Here is a 17,557-nt window from a genome sequence, read left to right on the forward strand (position 1 = left end):
TGAGTTCAAGCAATCCTCCCACCTCAGCCTCCCAAGTAGCTGGGAGTCCAGGCGCACATTACCACGCCCGACTAATTTTTGTACTTTTAGTAGAGACGGGGTTTCACCATGTTGACCAGGCTGGTCTCGAATTCCTGACCTCAGGTGATCCACCCGCCTTGGCCTCCCAAGGTGCTGGGATTACAGGCGTGAGCCACAGCGCCTCATTTTCTTAACCCTGGATTCACCTTAAGAATGCCATAGGACAATTTTAAAAAGCCAAAATATTTGCTTTAACACAGATTGGTTATGTAAGAGTCTCATGGGTAGGCCCTGAACATCATATTTCTGAGGATCCCCAGGTAATTCTTATGCATGGTGAGGGTTGACAGCCACTGCCGTGGACTGATTAAGCCTCTCTCTTTTTTGAAACGCTTACTGTCTTGTCATTCCCTATATCCACACCCATTAGCATAGCTACAGTGACTTCCATAAAACTGGCCTGGACTTCATCTCCTAACACTCCTTCCATAACTCTTCATAATCTTGCTACACCCAGTGCTGCTTCACAACTTTGTACCTTTTCATACCTTGTATCTTCTGTATGGAATATCCTTATCTTCCTTATCTGCCTATCAAAATATTATACATCCTTTAAAATTTGAATGACATCTCCTTCAGGAAGTTTTCCTGAACTTACTGTTTCCTTAGCTTGTAAACACTTTTATTATTATCCTTATCACACAAAATGAATCATAAACATCTGTTTATGCATCTCTCCCCTACTCAACTGTGAAGTCTGAGGGCTGGGAATGTACATTATTTACCTCTGTATCCCCAAAACTTAGCCAACAGAACTGGCAAACAGTAGGTGCCCAATACATATTTGTGGACTAAGTAGATTAATGAATTTTTAAAAAATGTTTTAGCATCTCTAAGACAAAAAAATGTGCAAGAAGGAACAAGGCAGATTCAAAAGAAGAGGTCTGTCAGTTGAATACTCGGTGAGATATCTGTCCTTGGAAAGAAGGGATTTTGTCTGGAGAAAACTAGGCTGTGCTAAGAAGAATAACTAATTCTATACAGACAGGCAGCCAAGAACAGGCTGTGGCCAAAGTGTTGATGGATGACAGCTGGAAGTATGGCTTGTGAACCAACTAAAAACGACACATCAATCTGAGCTGCAAATAAATCATTGGGACTCCAAAGGCTTTTGTTCACTTTAAAATCTCACTCTACATGAACATTTAATAAGAACACTTCAAATTGTTATAGCACTTTACTACTTTACACTTTACACATTCACATACATAATCCCCTGTAAACTTCCCAACACCTGTTACAAGAACAACATTATCAACCCAATTTTAGGATAGAAAGCTGAGGCTCTAAAAATTTCATTAATTAACCCAAGGTCACACAGATGATAAGTGGTAGAGGCAGAGCATGAATAGATTTTGAGATAAGAAAAGGAGAAGGAATAAGAAAGCCACAAAAAAAGTGAGCAAAAATAAAGAAAAAAATCTACAATATGCACATTATGTTTCATTCTGGGCTTTATTAACTACAAGTTTTTGTTGTTCTTTTCTCAATAATAGTAAAGGGGTTGGATCAGAGAAGGGGGCACTCCTAGGTTAAGAGTTGTTCATCTATAATGTATGAGGTATGGTGCAAGTCACTTTACATTTAGTATCTATAATAGCCCTATACGGTAGATGATGTTATCCACACTTTCAACATGTAGAAATTGAGATGCAGAAGATTTAATCAATTTGCCTAAAGGTCTGTAAGAGTTGGAAAAAAATTTGCACCCGTTTGACTCTAAAACCAGTGTTATTTGTATAACATCATATGCTTAATTCCTGTGTTGTGTTAGTTACATGTAAGAAAAATGTTGTAATGAAAGTATTATTTAGAATGTCTAATATATTTTTATGAAAATAAGACAGAAAGAGAAAGAAAAAAACGGTGTTTGAATAAGGTTGAAGTAATCATGAAAGTCAACTTGGAAGAAAAGTGAGACTTGACTTGAGTCTTAAGAGATGGGTAAAATTTGAAGCACCAACTAGGCAAGGGAGGGCATTCTAGAAAGGGATAAGAACATGGAGAAAGGCACTGAGGAGAGTGGCATCTGCTGGAAAGTCAGAAAAGAACCCAAGAACTGTGGGTGTGGGAGTTTGCTACCATCGAAGAAGTGCAAAATGTCCTAAACTTCACTGTTGGAGGGATATATTCTTCCCCCTAAGATTTTCGGGTTGGAGGAAGTTACATTCTTGGATGCGAACATCAACTGAGGGCCTTTCTGGTACAAGGAAATTGAATTGCTGATTGCTGGGATGTGTTATGAAAGGGAGCAAGCCACCAGTTATCATCAGCTCCCTGCGGGGCCCCACTGTCGCAACAGTGATAACTGGGAAATAGATCTTGAGATAAGAACAAGAGAAGAAATCAGAGATGAGTTCAGCAAGCTTAAAAAAAAGACCCCAAGTAGGTATCTTTTATAGATTAGGTTTTTTATTGAAAAAGTAATACATGCAATTCATACAGAAAGCTTCAGAGTACAAAAGGATATAAAAAAGCCAGTCTACTTCTGCACATACAAACATATGTACATATATGCATCTTTCCTTATTAAAAAAGGGCATTCACCTGCACACCATTGTGAGTCTTTTAAAAATTTCAACAAATTAAATTGGGAAATAATTTTATTTCCACACATGTGGATCAGTTTTATTTTTTAATTGACAATATTATTTCAATATATGAATATGCACTAAATTTTTTATCCTATCTCTTATAATAGACATTTGCCTTAGTCCCATTTTTCATTAACACAAATAATACTGCAATGGACACCCTTATACTTGTATACATTTGCATACTGTGCAAGTATTTTCATAATATACATTTCTAGAATGGGAATTACTTAGTCAAGGATAAATACATTTTTCATATTAAAAGATACTGCAAAATCGTGCCCTCCAAAGACGTTGCACCAATTTATAATCTCATCTACAAGTTATGAAATGCCCATCTCTCTATCCCCATCAATACTACACATTATCTAGCTTTTAATCTTTTTCAATATAATGAAGGGAAATGATGTTTCATTATTGCTTTAACTTGCATTGCCTTAATCATCAGTGAGGTTAAGCCTCTTTTTCTGTGTGTTTATTAACTTGTATGGCTGTTTTTCAGTGAAATGTCCATTTATAGCCTTTACTCATTTTTCTATTCATGATTTTGCTTTTTTTCTATTGATTTGCAAGAGATTTTTACATATTAAATAACTTAGTCCACCCTGAGTGAGATAAATTGAAGATGTTCCCCTAAATTGCTTTTTGACTGCATTTATTATATTTTCTACATGAAAAAAGTTTTGAAAATTATATGTAGCTAGATTTATGAAATTTTTCTTTTTACTTCCTGGATTTTGCATCTTCCTTAGAAAAATCATTTTCACTTCAAGACTACATATAATTATTCCATGCTTTCTCTTGGTGTCTTTACAATTGCATTTTCCATTTGACTCCTTTATATTTCTAGAACTTATTTTGGGGTAAAGAATTGGGTAATCTCTATTCTGTGGTGTTAATTTATCTACTCACATACTAGAACCAAACTGTTTTAATCAGTATAGATTTATAATACCTTTTAATACGTGGTGGGTAAAGTTTCTCCCAACACACTCCTTCCCACCTCCCACCACTGACTTTTCGTTTTCAAAATGGTCCTGGCTAGTTTCACACTAAATTATGTATATATATATATATATAACATAATACATAATTATATATACGATAGAGGACACATTGATAACCAAAGTGATAGATGGCTGTGGTCTCAAGAGTGAGAGATGCTCCAGAACCTCCATTCTGAGAGGCACGCGCGCGTGCACACACACACACATACACACCACAAAACATACAAATAATGTATTTGAAAAATATAATAGTTTAGAGGTGAAGTCCTGGGAATACCCACAATGGATCAAGAATAGGGTTGCCAGATTTAGCAAATAAAAATACAGGATGTCTAGTTAAATGTGAATTTCAGATAAATAATTTTGGGGGTATAAGTATGTCTCAATTATTGCAGGGGGCATGCTTATGTAAAGACTATTTGTTGTTTATCTGAAATTTATGTTTTACTGGGTGTCCTCTGTTGTATAGGCAACCCTAACCAAGGGGAAAATGAAGAGTAGCTTAAAAGTACAAAGGAAAATTGTGTGCAATGATGAATTAACACATTATGGTCAGTGGGAAGCCCTTAATACAGGCACTTAGACATTGGCTTGAACAGAGAAATTACAATTCTGGGGTGTGAATTAAATAAGCTTGTTTTGTCTTCCCAGCTTTGGTTTGAAAAATGAAACCTCTTAAATAAAATGCAAGAGGCTCAATTGATTTGAAGGCTTTTTGGCTTTCTGGCTCCAGTTTAAAAGAAAAATCAGTTTAATAGAAATTGGAAATTAAGATTCTGTTTTATTTGTGCCATACTATGAAGACTTTTGATATATAGATTTTCTTTTTCAGATTAGTGTTTCAAGTTTAAATTATTGGGAAACTTCCCAAATTGATTTTTTCATTTGGGGTTGGTGGGGAAATGTCATTCTTATTAATCACTTTAGATAATAAGTCAAGTAGAATCCCTTATGATTTATTGTCTTTTATTTTTAAGTGACCAAGTGATTTGGATCTGAAATTAAAGACATTCTCTAATTCATGAATATTTGCTTACCTAATTCTTTCCTAAAAATTAACTTGACTTTTGGAGCAAGCTCCTGTGCTTGCTCCTGTGGCATATTAAGAAAAGCTTTGGCTCTGGAGTTAGAAAATCTGGATTCAAGTCCCAGATCTTTGTAGCTCCGTGCTGTAAATGTGTGGCAAGTGGCTCAATGTCTTTGACTCCTAGCTAGTTCATCTATAAAATGGGCGTAGTAATTCTTACTTCACAGGGTTGTTGTGAGAATTAAATGAGATATACAGGTAAAGTGCATGGCACTTTACAGGTATTTAATTATTATCAATTTTTTTGTAGATACTTACATATTGAAAAGTATATATATTTGCAAAATCATTTTCATTGATGCTTTTCTAGAGGGTGAAATTTTGTGTGCATTTGAGTTCTTTTTAAAGGCTGATGAGTTCTCTATTTCTATGAATATGGGAGAATGCTAGATAAATATAATATTGATATAATGTTGGTATGCTCAGTATGAAACAAAAGAACCCAAAATATACAACATGTATCAATGGGGTTCCTTATGGAAATTTACTGAATTGTAATAATAATGTTTGCCTTTCTGTTGGAAAGAATAAGATGCAAATAAAGTCCTTTTAACTGCCTATGGGCGGGATAAGCACCAGCTAGTCTTGGAGGGGTTGAGTCTTACGACTATTCTATGGTGCACCCTTTGAAATAAGCCTGTTCTTGGCCACATCAATTCACAGATGGAGGGTGTATGGTTTCTGCTATTTTTTTCCACTGGAAATTTGTCAAGGATTTGTTATATGCTGCGGAATGGTTAGATGTGGGAAAAAAAGCCCAAGCACCATGGCTGGCCCCAGGATTTTGGGACAGGTGTTGATAATCTGTAAGAGTAGGAAGGCTGCTGATGAGAGTGCGTGATATCCAAGAAACAACCAGAAAAAGGCAACTAGAGACAGGAGTTTGAATGTTCCATAGATCATCCCTTGTCCTTTTCTCCTTTATGGGCTCTCCTCACAATAATTGGTAGGAAGTTAGAAGACCTGGGTTCTAGTCATTAATTGTCTGTGAGTTCTGGAGCAAGTCATTTCAGTTTGCTGGACCTCATTTTTCTGATCTGTCCAACTGAGTTTGGGGGGAGGAGATGCCTCAAATATCTCCAAGCCTGGTGTGAGAATCAAATGTGAGAACAGACTTGAGTGTTCTTTGAAAAAGCACGCAGTGCTGTATGCAAATGCAAGTGTAGAGATTATTATTTATCATCATTTACAGTGAAAGCAAGGATAATGTGATAAGGACAAGCAATCGTTCTCTCTGGTTTAGATAGAGGAGAGTGGGAATGGCCTTAGGAAGCATCCAAACCTGGAATTTCTCAGGAGACTGAGAAAACAGCAAACTCCTCCTTCAACATCTCTTCTTCTCCCACTTTTATCCGGTCAGTTTCATGGCCCAGACCCAGTCAAGAACTCTTCTTCTCTGCTAGTGTTTCTCATAAGGGTATAGTTGTCTGCATACCAATAGCTGGATAAACACTAAAGCTCTGTTGAGAGGAAACGTGAGGGAAGTTTAAAACCATGAATAATATGGAGAAGATGAATATTAACTTTTACATTTAATTTAAAAGTAAAACTCTACTTCACAATTAAAAGAGAAATCTTAGGAGGAAACTTAGGATCCATGAAAGGAAAGTCGTGTCATCAGTCAAATGAAAAGCTTGGACCATCAGATTATTTTTAAAGGTCCCTTCCAGCTTTGACATTTTAACTGAGAGTTCTTGTGACAAAATCTCAGCTACCTTTCCAATACAATGTCCCTACTACTCCCAGCCTCTCGGTGTAAGCTAATTTTTCTGCCTTTCCTTCCTAGCCTGTCTCAGTTGCTCTTGGCACTACCTTCAAATGCAAACTCTATCCCCTTCTCCTTCACCTAGATAAAGCCTATCGAGCCTCCTTTGACACTGAGTTACCAATGATGAAAGGGGTAATTATTGACACAGCAATATGCTAGGTGTTTTATGTAATTTTTAACCCTCACATAAGCCTTTTGAAATGAACTTTAGTCTTCCCTGTTTATAGGAAACTGAAGCTCATAAAGTTTAAGTAACTTGCTGAAGATCACACAGCTAGTGCCAAAGTTAGGATTTGAATTAAAATCTGTCAGACTCCAGAGTTGGGCTGTCAAGTTCAAGACTCACCTCACCCAGCCCCAAAGACCTTCACTCTCCTCAGACAACTTCCAAGTCTTCAAACCAAGCCCTGCATTTAATGCTATCATGTCGTAGACTTACTTGATTTCATATCTTCTTTTCCCAATTCATTTTTTGGTTCCTCACGAGAAAGGACCATAGCAAATTCAACTCTCTATACTCAGTGGTTAGTTCTCTGACTTGCACACAGTAGGAGCTTAATAAATATTTGTTGATGAGTAGACATCACATTAATTTGCTGTTCAAAACCTGTGTTTGAGTATTAAATATGTTTTACCAGCGGAAGAAAACCATAGCTAAGGTAATTTGTGAGCCGAAGCCATTGTTACTTCTGTTGCTAAGGGAAGTCAGTTACCCTGGGATACTAATTAACTGCAGCTATTGTGGAAATTAAGCCAGCAGCCCCCAGCGAGTTCAGAGAGCTGATGGGAGGAGGGAATCTAGAAGGTGTCAAGTAAGAAAGTATATTTTCTGATTTGAAGAAAAGTGACCAAGGGAGGGGGTAGCTTGTACACTTTCAGCACCATCACACCTCTGTGAAGCCTATTTCTCTTCCTTAGTGGGCAAAGAGGTTGTTCTCTATAATTAGCTCAAACAGTCGAGGCAAGGTGAATAGACTGCCTGTGACTGAGACCTACACTTCAGGCTTTGCTAGCATTGAGAGATACGCATCTGAGGGGCTTTGACGTCAAAGTAGCTCCAAGGCTGAATGAAAAGTACCGAAGAGACTCTTGATGCTAAGTTAAGATTCCAGTTGAAATGATGAAGGGAAATGAAGAGATCAATAAAGAAAGGTAACAGACTCTACCTGGGGTGCTCGTTGCATTTAAAAGAATTATCTACTCTGCTGTCTAAATTGGAGTTCAACAGTTTTAATAAAGGGACTTATTTATGATTCTAGAAAAAGTCTGAACAGTGCACTTATTTATCTGCAACATAGCCAGAGCTCAAACTTGGACATAAGTTGCTCTAACAGACTAGTTCCACCTAGTGATAGTGTACCTAAATTGCAGTTTGTTTTTCTGAGAAAACGAAAACATGGCCTTTACAAGTGGTCACTGCAGCACTGAAGTCATGACTTTATTCAACAGCTGAGCACCAGCTTCGTGAGAAGCCCTGGGCTAGAGACACTGACGCGTGTCTGGGGAAGAGGGAGTGAGTGCTTTGCAGATTGGCTAAGCGAGGCAATAATAAAACTTCTGATTAACAGCAGGAGGTGAGAGCACCAAGCCTACAGGAAGCATATGAAATAATATTTAGAGACCAGGGCAGGTGGGATTAACTCTGTCTCTACTGACTCATGCTGTTGAGAGATCTGTATACGAACTCAAAACCTCCCTTCTGCATGACAGAAGGCCATGAAAGGGTGAGGAAGAAAATTCCAGGGAGGTTCTGACCAGAAGGACAAGAGGACACAATAAAATTCAGCAGCAACCTGGTACCCTTGTCTTTTCATGCAATAATTCTATAAGGAGATTATCCAACTTCACCAGAGCGACACTGAAATCTTCTTGGCTTTAGACTCACATATCCAAATGCCTACTTAGTTAAGCACCTTCCACTCTGAGCATCCAAAGCTATGAAAGCAACAGGTAGGCCAAAATACAGGTCTACAAGTCTGGCAAACCCTAATCAGCGCTGCCCTGCCCTAGGAATTAGTAGAGCAACCACACCCATCAATGCCAGAGATATGGCAGCAAGTGCTGAGCCTAAAATGTTCTGGTGAATCAAGCCATCTGTGATTCAGAGAAAAGCAAGTTTGATAGCACATCTTGTGGGCAGGTTTCATCAAGCTCACTGGCTTGCATGTGGAGCTGTTGCACCGATATTTGGGTAACAAGACCCTAAAAATACTCCCCAAAATTCACAAGCCTTTTATTCTATTGTGGATAGATGCAGCTCCACTTGAGGCACAGATGTTTACCCATCCACTATTCCCCACCTCCACATCACTCTCCTTTGCCCCACAGTTTGCTGCTCATGCCAAGACTCCACCTCCAACTCATCTCTGGGATAGCCAATGAGCACCTGGGGCCTTCGTGCTGTGTCCCAGGTTTTCTATCAAGGAACCAAGCTTCTAGTGACTACACAGATTTCAGAGTGAATCTTTTAGATTCCTCCTAGATTACAAAGGTTAGAGAATGAAGGAGTAAAGGCTTGGGAATCTGTATCTTAATGAAATCCCTACAGTTTGTTTTGATTCAGCAAATCGGCAGACAAGACTCCAGACTGGATTTTGTCCCAGCATTTCCATTTCCACCTCCTCTAAGAAGTTTCCCAGTGTTGTCAGCCCTCATTGATTTTCTCCTCCTTTTGAATTCATGTAACATAAAAGCAAAAATTGTTTGGGAGGCTGAGGTGGGTGGACCACCTGAGGTCAGGGATTCGAGGCCAGCCTGGCCAACATGGCGAAACCTCGTCTCTACTAAAAATACAAAAATTAGCTGGGCATGGTGGCGCATGCCTGTAATCCCAGCTACTCAGGAGGCTGAGGCAGGAGAATCGCTTGAACCCAGGAGGCAGAGGTTGCAGCAAGCCCAGCAGCCTGGGAGACAGACTGAAATTCCATCTCAAAAAAAAAAAAACAAAAAACAAGAATTGTGTGCTTTTAAAGGGCTCCCAAAAACCAATCAATACAAATGGTTACCTGGAGCAGGAATCCCCTTCACAAAACCCCAGTACATGCTTATCTAACACCTGCCTGGCCAGCCCTCCCCACTTTTTATAGAATATAGAACCCACCACCCACCAGGCAGCTATTTCAACCCCCATCACCTTTCTTAGGAACGCTAGTAGCCAGAAAAATCTCTTCCATCTCACTGATCCCAAATCTTCCCATGTTGCAGCCAGAAACCACCTGGGGGATTGGTAACATTTAAAAAAGAACTGTTTAAAACATTTGCAAAGTTTTCTGTTGTAAAAGTACTGTCCTTTGAAAGTGATGCTCTCTCTTTCAGAAAACAGTTCGTAGAGATTCTTTTGCTAAAGCAGTTTGTAGTTGCTCCCCTGGGTGTGTGTCTTCTATTAAGGCAATGATCTCAGAATTCTTGCTACAAAAGCCCAAACAAAATGCTAAATCCCTTCAAGCATCCCTGAACAGGCAGATATATTGGTGGTCAGCTGCTGAGGGCAGCTTGGAAACTAAAATCAATCTGCTTTAGCTTCTGTGCTTTAGCAGTATTTTCTTAAATTGCTCTTCGCTGTTGCTAGTTGCTTTAAGGCACCTTCTGTTGAAGGGAAAATTTGTGCAAGTAAGCCCCAAGAAACCCCTACCTAGTATGGAAGGCTGGAATCAAAAATTCATTTCAAAGGAGGAAATAGGGGAGAAATTTGTGAATGAAAATAATTCTCCCTTTTACCTTGCAAAAGTCACCAGGCAGAGTCTTCACTTAGGCTGGTATCAAATAATGATTCATTCATCAGGATTGAATTGAAAACTCTTGAGTGCCAGAAAGGATTCCTGAAAAAGGAAACGGACGGTGACTGCCATGTTTCATAACTCCGGTGGGTGCCACTTACAATTGGAGGGACATGGAGAAGGCTCCAAAGGATGGTTCCCTGGTAGCAAATAAAACAGGTGGCAAAGAGGAGGTCTAGCAAACATGTTGAAACCAGAGTAGGGCATGAATTTGCTCTGGATAATAAAATTAGGTAGCATTGAGGGTGCGGGTGTCTGTTTGGAGCTCCAGTTCTGCAAGGTCTAGGAAAGCAAATCCAGCAGAAGACAGAAAAACCCAGCTCAGTCCCGGGTACTGATATATTGCTAAGGAAGGAGGGGATGTTGATAGGAAGTTAATATAGGGACTTGGGGACTCCATACCATAAGACCAACTTATAATGAGGGGACTAGAGAGAAAAGCAAGTCTGGAGTGGAGAAACTGAGGCAGAGCTTGCAGATGGGGGATTTAGTTGTCCTAGCTGGAGGAGCAGGAAAAGGTCCAGGTATTGAGTTGGGAGCTTATGGGACTGATGCTGCTTGCATGTCTCAAAATCCTATTGTACTTCTAACAAACAAGCTTGAAAACCTGGAATTTTCAACTTTTTGACAATAGAAAGTACCAAACTGACTCCCAGAACACATAGACAATATAATCAAACCAATTACCAAATAAGAAATTGAGAAAATTGTTGAAGACAAATTCTCCCCTGAAAGCACCAGGCCCAAATTGTTTCTTGGGGAAGGAGTGGGTTAGAGAAATGTTGGTAAAATGATACAAAATTCCAGTTAACAGGAGGAATTAGTTCAAGAGATCTATTGTACAGCATGTTAACTATAGTCAATAACAAGTACCAGATTCTTGAAAGTCACTGGGACTGTAGATTTTGAGTGTTCTCACCACAAAATAATGATAAGTATGTGAGATAGTATATACGTTAATTAGTTCAATTTAGTCATTCCACAATTTATACGTATTTCAAAACATAATGTTGTATATAACAAATATGTACAGTTTTTATTTGTCAATTAAAAGTTAATTAATTTAAAAGGAAACATAAATTATGTGAGTACAGTGAAAGGCAGAAATTGATAAATCTGTAACACATGTGGAATTAAAAATGTACAAAGGCCTAAAACAGGGAGGAAGATCCCTTCCAATGAAAGACCCTTGGGGATGTTTCATTAACAAACTAACGTGTGGTATTGGTTATTGATTCAACAACAGCAAAAAATATTCTGGTTTTACCCATTCAGAGCTCTTTTAGTTGGCTCCCATGTCCCCTTGACATATACCCATTTTTTTAGGGATTTTTAAAAGCACTTTCCTATTTTCTGACACTGCAAGATGCTTCAGTCTCATTTTATATAATTCCTGCCTTGGTCCTAGAATCAGCAATTTCTTCAAGGAGTCCTGATTCCTTTTACTGGAGGATACTAAAAGAAACCATTGACAAATCCCAGGTCATGCAGATTTCCCCATTTGCTTCTAAAAGTTTTACAGTTTTAGCTCTTAAATTTAGGTCTTTGGTTCATTTTGAGTTAATGTTGTTATGAGATTAAAGTTAAGGGTCAAACCTCATTCTTTTGCATGTGAATATTTCAGTTTTCCAGCACTTTTTGTTGAAGACAATTGTTCTATTTCCATTCAATGGTCTTGAAACCCTTGTCAAATATAAATTGATATAGATGTGAGTGTTTATTTCTGTGCTCTCAATTCTCTTCCATTGGTCTATATTTTTGTCCTTAGGCCAATACCACACCCTTTTGATTACTGTAACTTTAAGTAAGTTGTAAAATCAGGTAGTATGAATGTTCCAACTTTGTTTTCTTTCTCAAGATTGTTTTGGCTATTTTGTCACCCTTGCAATCCCATATTAATTTTAGAATCAGCTTCTCCATTTCTGCAAAAATAAAACAAAACAATAACAGGGCATTGAGATTAGGTTTGAGACGGCATTAAAACTATATTTTTTTTAGGTAGTATTGTTAACAATATGTAGTCGGCCAATTCTTGAACCAGGTGTCTCCCATTTATTTAGGTCTTCTTTAATTTATTTCAGCAGTGTTATGTAGTTTTCAGCAGGCAAGTCTTGTGTTTTCTTGGTTAAATTTATTCCTAAGTATTTTATTCTTTTTGATGCTATCGTAAATGAAATTGTTTTCTTAATTTCCTCTTTGAATCATTCAATACTAGTGTATAGAAATATGCTAAAATCACCCAATACATTGTTACTGTTATTACTGGGAAAAATTTTAAGTCTATTAGGAAGTGATGACTTTCAAGCTCTTTAAATATTGGAGCTGAAACTACAAGTCTTCAATTCTATTCGATTTTAAAGGAACAGAGTACTTTAATGCTATTTAATCTGTTTCAGAGCATAGAGAAAGAAGAAAAGCTTCCAAACAGATACCAAAAACTGACAAAACTATGCCCAATTCTCAATTATTAACACTAATGCAAAAGTACCAAATTAGATATTAGCAAATAGAACCCATCAACTAATTAAAAGAAAAATACACCAAGAAAGTGGGTTTTATACCAGAAAGTCAAAGAGATTTCAATATTAGGAAATCCATTAACACAATTAAACATGGAAAAAATGTATAATCATTTCCATAAACAACAGTATTTATTTTATGAAATTAAATGGTCATGCTTGATTAGTAAATGGAAGCTATTACTAACAAGACAAAATAAACTGAGAAAGATTGAAAAAGAAACAGAAAGTGAGGAAGGAAAATACTAGCAACCTGCTAAATGGCGAGATACCAGAAGTATTACTATTAAAGTCTGAAATAAGGCAAGGATATCCACTATCATCTCTATTATTTAACATTATTTGGGGGCATTTCCTAGTACAAATAGATAAGGATTTCTAAAAATGCCATCAACATTGGAAAGTAGTTAAAATTTTCATTTTTCATAGATGATATAATTGTTTACCTTAAAGCAACAGAAGAAATACATGTAAATCATTAAAAACAGTAAGAAAATTCTCTTCTTTTTCCTTCCTCTTCTCTTGGAGTTGGTGGTGTAATAGATTTAGAAGGTGGCAAAGTGAGGAGGCAACAGGCTGAGGAAATGGCAATAGGTCCATTAGCTGAGGAGGTCACTAATGTAGTCAGGAGATTGATTATATACAAGAGTATTGAACATATTAGTAAATATATTGAGAATAATAGGAGCTAGCTTTCTCGCTGTCAGAAAGTGATTTACAAATGTAGGGAGGGAAAAGGCTAGAAAGATTCCTGGTGTTTGGGATTTTAATTGGAGCTATCGATATGTACTCATGCTTTACACACATACACATACACACTCACACACACAGAGAAATATAGATATGTGTGCAGTGTGAATGTGTTGTGTACTCACACACATATACAAACACATATTTCCTATGTCTGTTAGAGGCCACTAAGTGAACAGATCTTGGGTTCTAAATATCACCCCCTCTAAAAGGACTCAGGGATCCTTGTAAAATGATTGATTCTAGAACTGGAGCAGGGAAAGTACATGATCCTGGAACATGTTGTTGTTTTTGAAAGTAAGGAGGAGATCAAAGAATGATAGGGATGTGTGTAAAGAACACTGGAGCAGGTCTGAAAGGTCTCTCACTAGCTCCTATATCCAAATATAGGATAATTTTAGTGTCAAAATAAATAATGTTAGTAAAGGATAACAATCAAGTGAATAATATAGGAATCCATCCATGAGTCCATATCAAAATTTCAAAATGAAAGAAATAAAAAGAAAATGAGGACGTGAAACTTCCTTAGAGTAGAATGTTAACTAATGAATGTAGAAGGAATGATATAAAGATAAACATGACCACTTAAGAATGACCATAGTAGTGGTTGATTTAGGCAGCGATCATCAATGAATGCTAAGGCAGGTGAGTGGGTGTTTGAAGAACAGAATAGTAGAATAGACTCAGAGGATCTTCTTACAAAATACATAACAATTACAAGGAGAAAAAATGTGACTCCTTGTTGGGGAAACATGGCAGACACCACCTTGCCCAGGTAATGAACATTATCATCATCACTGGTGGAACAGAGTTGCCATAATACCCCCCTTGATGCATTACTCTGCTTACAGTATGGCATTATTACTACAGTCTTCTTGCCAGGAATACATGACCTGAGTTTGGACAGGAGTAGTTACCAAATAAACAAGGGTTGAGGGACATCATACAAAATGAAAGACATGTACTCTTTATACTGTCAAGATCATGAAAGTCAAGAAAGACTGAGGAAATGTTCCAGACTTTAGGAGACTAAAAATACATGAAAATTAAATGTAACACGTGACTCTGGATTGGATCCTGGACCACAGAATAGAAAGAGACATGGTTGGGATACTTGGAAAAATTTGAATAAAGTCTTTGGGTTGGGTCATAGTGCTGTATCAATGTTTATTTGCTGATTTGGATATTTCTATTTGTGACTATGAAAGATAATGTCCTTGCTTTTGAGAAGCACACAGTGGCATATTTTGGGGCAGTTGGGCATAATGTCTGAACCTTGCTCTCAATTCAATTAGTTTTTAAAAAGAATATTTTTAAGTGAGTAGTGGTTTTGTTTGTTTGTTTTTTAAAGAGCAGTAGTACTCATTTTAAAAGGGTTGTGTGTTTGTGTGTGTGTGTGTGTGTGTGGAGAGAGAGGGGGAAAAAGAGAGAGCAAATATGCTAAAATGCTAGCAATTGTCTAATATGAGTAAAATAATATGTGAATTTTTTAGTTTTTTCAATTTTTAATAAGGTTGCAATATTTCAAAATAAATTATATAAAAAGCCCCACCACACAACGTTGTAATTTAGACCTAAGAAAATCATTGAAATAAATATACTGTAAGTAGAAAAAATGATTACTATAAATATTTTCCTAGCACAAAAGGTGATTATCATTTTAATATTAAGATTTTAATATCATTCAAAATTAATCCAAATAAGCTGAATGCAGTGGCTAATGCTTGAAATACCAGAAACTCAGGACCCCATCTCTTAAAAAATATAAAAAATTAGTTGGGTGCCTATAGTCCCAGCTACTTTACTTTGGAGGCTGAGGCCAAAGGATCACTCACTGGAGCTTAAGAGTTCAAGGCTGCAGTGAGACATGACCGTGCCACTGCACTCCAGCCTGGGTGACAGAATGAAACCTTGTCTCCAAAGAACAAAAAAAATAAGAAATTAATCAAAATGTATAGTTTATTTATGTAAGATATAGGCTTATATATATATTTAGTTCTTTCTTTTTTTTAGACAGGCTCTCACTCTGTCAATCAAGCTGGAGTGCAGTGGTGCAATCACAGCTCATTGCAGCCTTGACCCCTCAGGCTCAAGTGATTCTCCCACCTCAGCCTCCCGAGTAGCTGGGACCACAGGCGCATACCGCTACAATTGGCTAATTTTTTTTAATTTTTTTTTGTGGAGATAGGGTCTTGCTATGTTGCCCAGGCTGGTATACTTAGTTCTTTAAAGGATAGCAGAAATTAGTAAGATGGATGACATAAAGATAAAAATTTAAAAATGCATGTGTTGCTATATAAATACATTTTTTAGATGTCATGAAAAAAGACATTACATTTACAGTTGCAACTGTAATAGCAAACACCAAAAAAATGAACTCTAGGAATAAAGCTACTGAGAAATGTGCAGGGCCCACATGAAAAATATTTAAAACATCAGGTTGTGTCATAAAACTACATTTAAGTAAATGGAAAGATATACTTAAAATTTAATTATAATATTAATGTGATCCTATTAAAACAGGTAACATTTTAAAAAAAATTAATCAAGCTTATTTAAAAATTTCTCTGGAAAAAACCTGAAGAACACAACCAAGGCCTTTCTACCAAAAAAAAAATAATGAAACAATAATGAAATACAACATTTCATGTATAATAAGGTAAAGGTAAAGCAAATCTCAACGACACTGGTTCATGAGATCAATGAGACGAAATAGAGAGCCAAAAAGAAACCCAAGTCATGTTAGAATTTGGTATATGAAAAAGACGGCACTTAAGTAAGAAAAATAATAGATGGCTTTATCAACAAATGTTGCTGAGACAAATGGATTTTCCAATGGAAAAAATAAAGTTGGCTCCCAATCTCACTCCATACGCCAAAATAAATTTGAAGTGGATCAAAGGTGTGAGTTAAAAATGAAAACAAAGTACTAGAAGCCAACATGGGGTATCTTGTCTTCAATTCCAGAGTGGAGAACTTTCTAAGTATGATACAAACCCAGAAGCCATAAAAGACAAGACAGATAAATTAATTATTCAAATATGTATGAACTTCTTCTGGAAAAATGGAATGTATGTATTGTTTCCTATTTCTCCTGCAAAGTACAGATAAAATCCCTGGAGATTATATATGAAACAACCACAAGAAGACAGAAAGGTGAAAAGAAAAAGGCAGACAAGATAGAGACCTCAGGACCAAGGAATGGCATTGTGGTGAGTTCCTTGAGTATTCTTTTTGCTTCTTATTTCCAATCCAGGTAACAAAGACACTGTAAATATAAAATCATCAAAGGCCACTACCAAAGAAAGAAGTGGTAAGAAAAGCCTATTCTCTCTAGCTAAAAAAGAAAACTTTTAGACAATAAGCACTCTCTGACCACAAACCACAGAAAATGTTTGACCCATTCCCACTCCTGGAGCAAAGACCAAATGAAGAACTTAGACTTGCACCTTCCCCGCACTAAAACAAGGTGCCCTGACATCCTTGTCAGGGTGATGTCATAGGCCAGTGGGAAGTAGAGACTTCCACCACTGTTGGCAATAATGAGACATAATGATAATATTGGCCACATAGGGAGTAGTAATGAGGATCTCTTCTACATACTACCCTATGCCAATAAAGACCAAATGAAAACCTGAACTTCCACCCTAACCTAGCAGATGTCAGAGGAAGTCAGTTAAAACGTAAAATTTAAATAAAATCAAGAATATCATAACAACTGAAATATCCAGATTTCAACAAAAAATTATACCAAGAACTAGAAAAATCTCAACTTGCAAAAAGTAAGACAATCAAATCAACAGATACCAATCCAATGTCGACAGATATATAATTATCTTATAGGGACTTATCATCATACATTATAATAATGTTTCAACACAAAATTACAAACACACGAAACAAATAAAAAAGTAGAAAGTCTCATCAAAGGAATAGAAATTCTCAGCAAAAATTAAAGATATAAGAAACAGCTCA

At 37.0% G+C, this 17,557-nt stretch overlaps 2 long non-coding RNA genes across 4 annotated transcripts in view; one reads left to right on the forward strand and one right to left on the reverse strand.

The window, feature by feature from the left end:
• Positions 2,476–17,557, reverse strand: part of LOC102723546 (uncharacterized) — a 40,882-nt gene continuing 25,800 nt past the window's right edge. For 2 of the 3 annotated variants that reach the window (XR_001755966.2, XR_938589.3), the window contains 3 exons: positions 10,255–10,355; positions 9,671–9,752; positions 2,476–6,229 (listed from right to left, as the gene is read on the reverse strand). This is a non-coding gene — a long non-coding RNA (uncharacterized LOC102723546). The remainder of the gene's footprint in view (positions 6,230–9,670; positions 9,753–10,254; positions 10,356–17,557) is intronic. The other variant, XR_938590.3, reaches the window with a different exon arrangement.
• LOC107985705 (uncharacterized) overlaps positions 16,628–17,557 on the forward strand; it is a 32,916-nt gene continuing 31,986 nt past the window's right edge. Inside the window, exon 1 of the long non-coding RNA XR_007068335.1 lies at positions 16,628–16,794. This is a non-coding gene — a long non-coding RNA (uncharacterized LOC107985705). The remainder of the gene's footprint in view (positions 16,795–17,557) is intronic.

The sequence above is a fragment of the Homo sapiens genome, chromosome X, assembly GCF_000001405.40.
Source record: "Homo sapiens chromosome X, GRCh38.p14 Primary Assembly".
NCBI classification, from domain to species: Eukaryota; Metazoa; Chordata; class Mammalia; order Primates; family Hominidae; genus Homo; species Homo sapiens.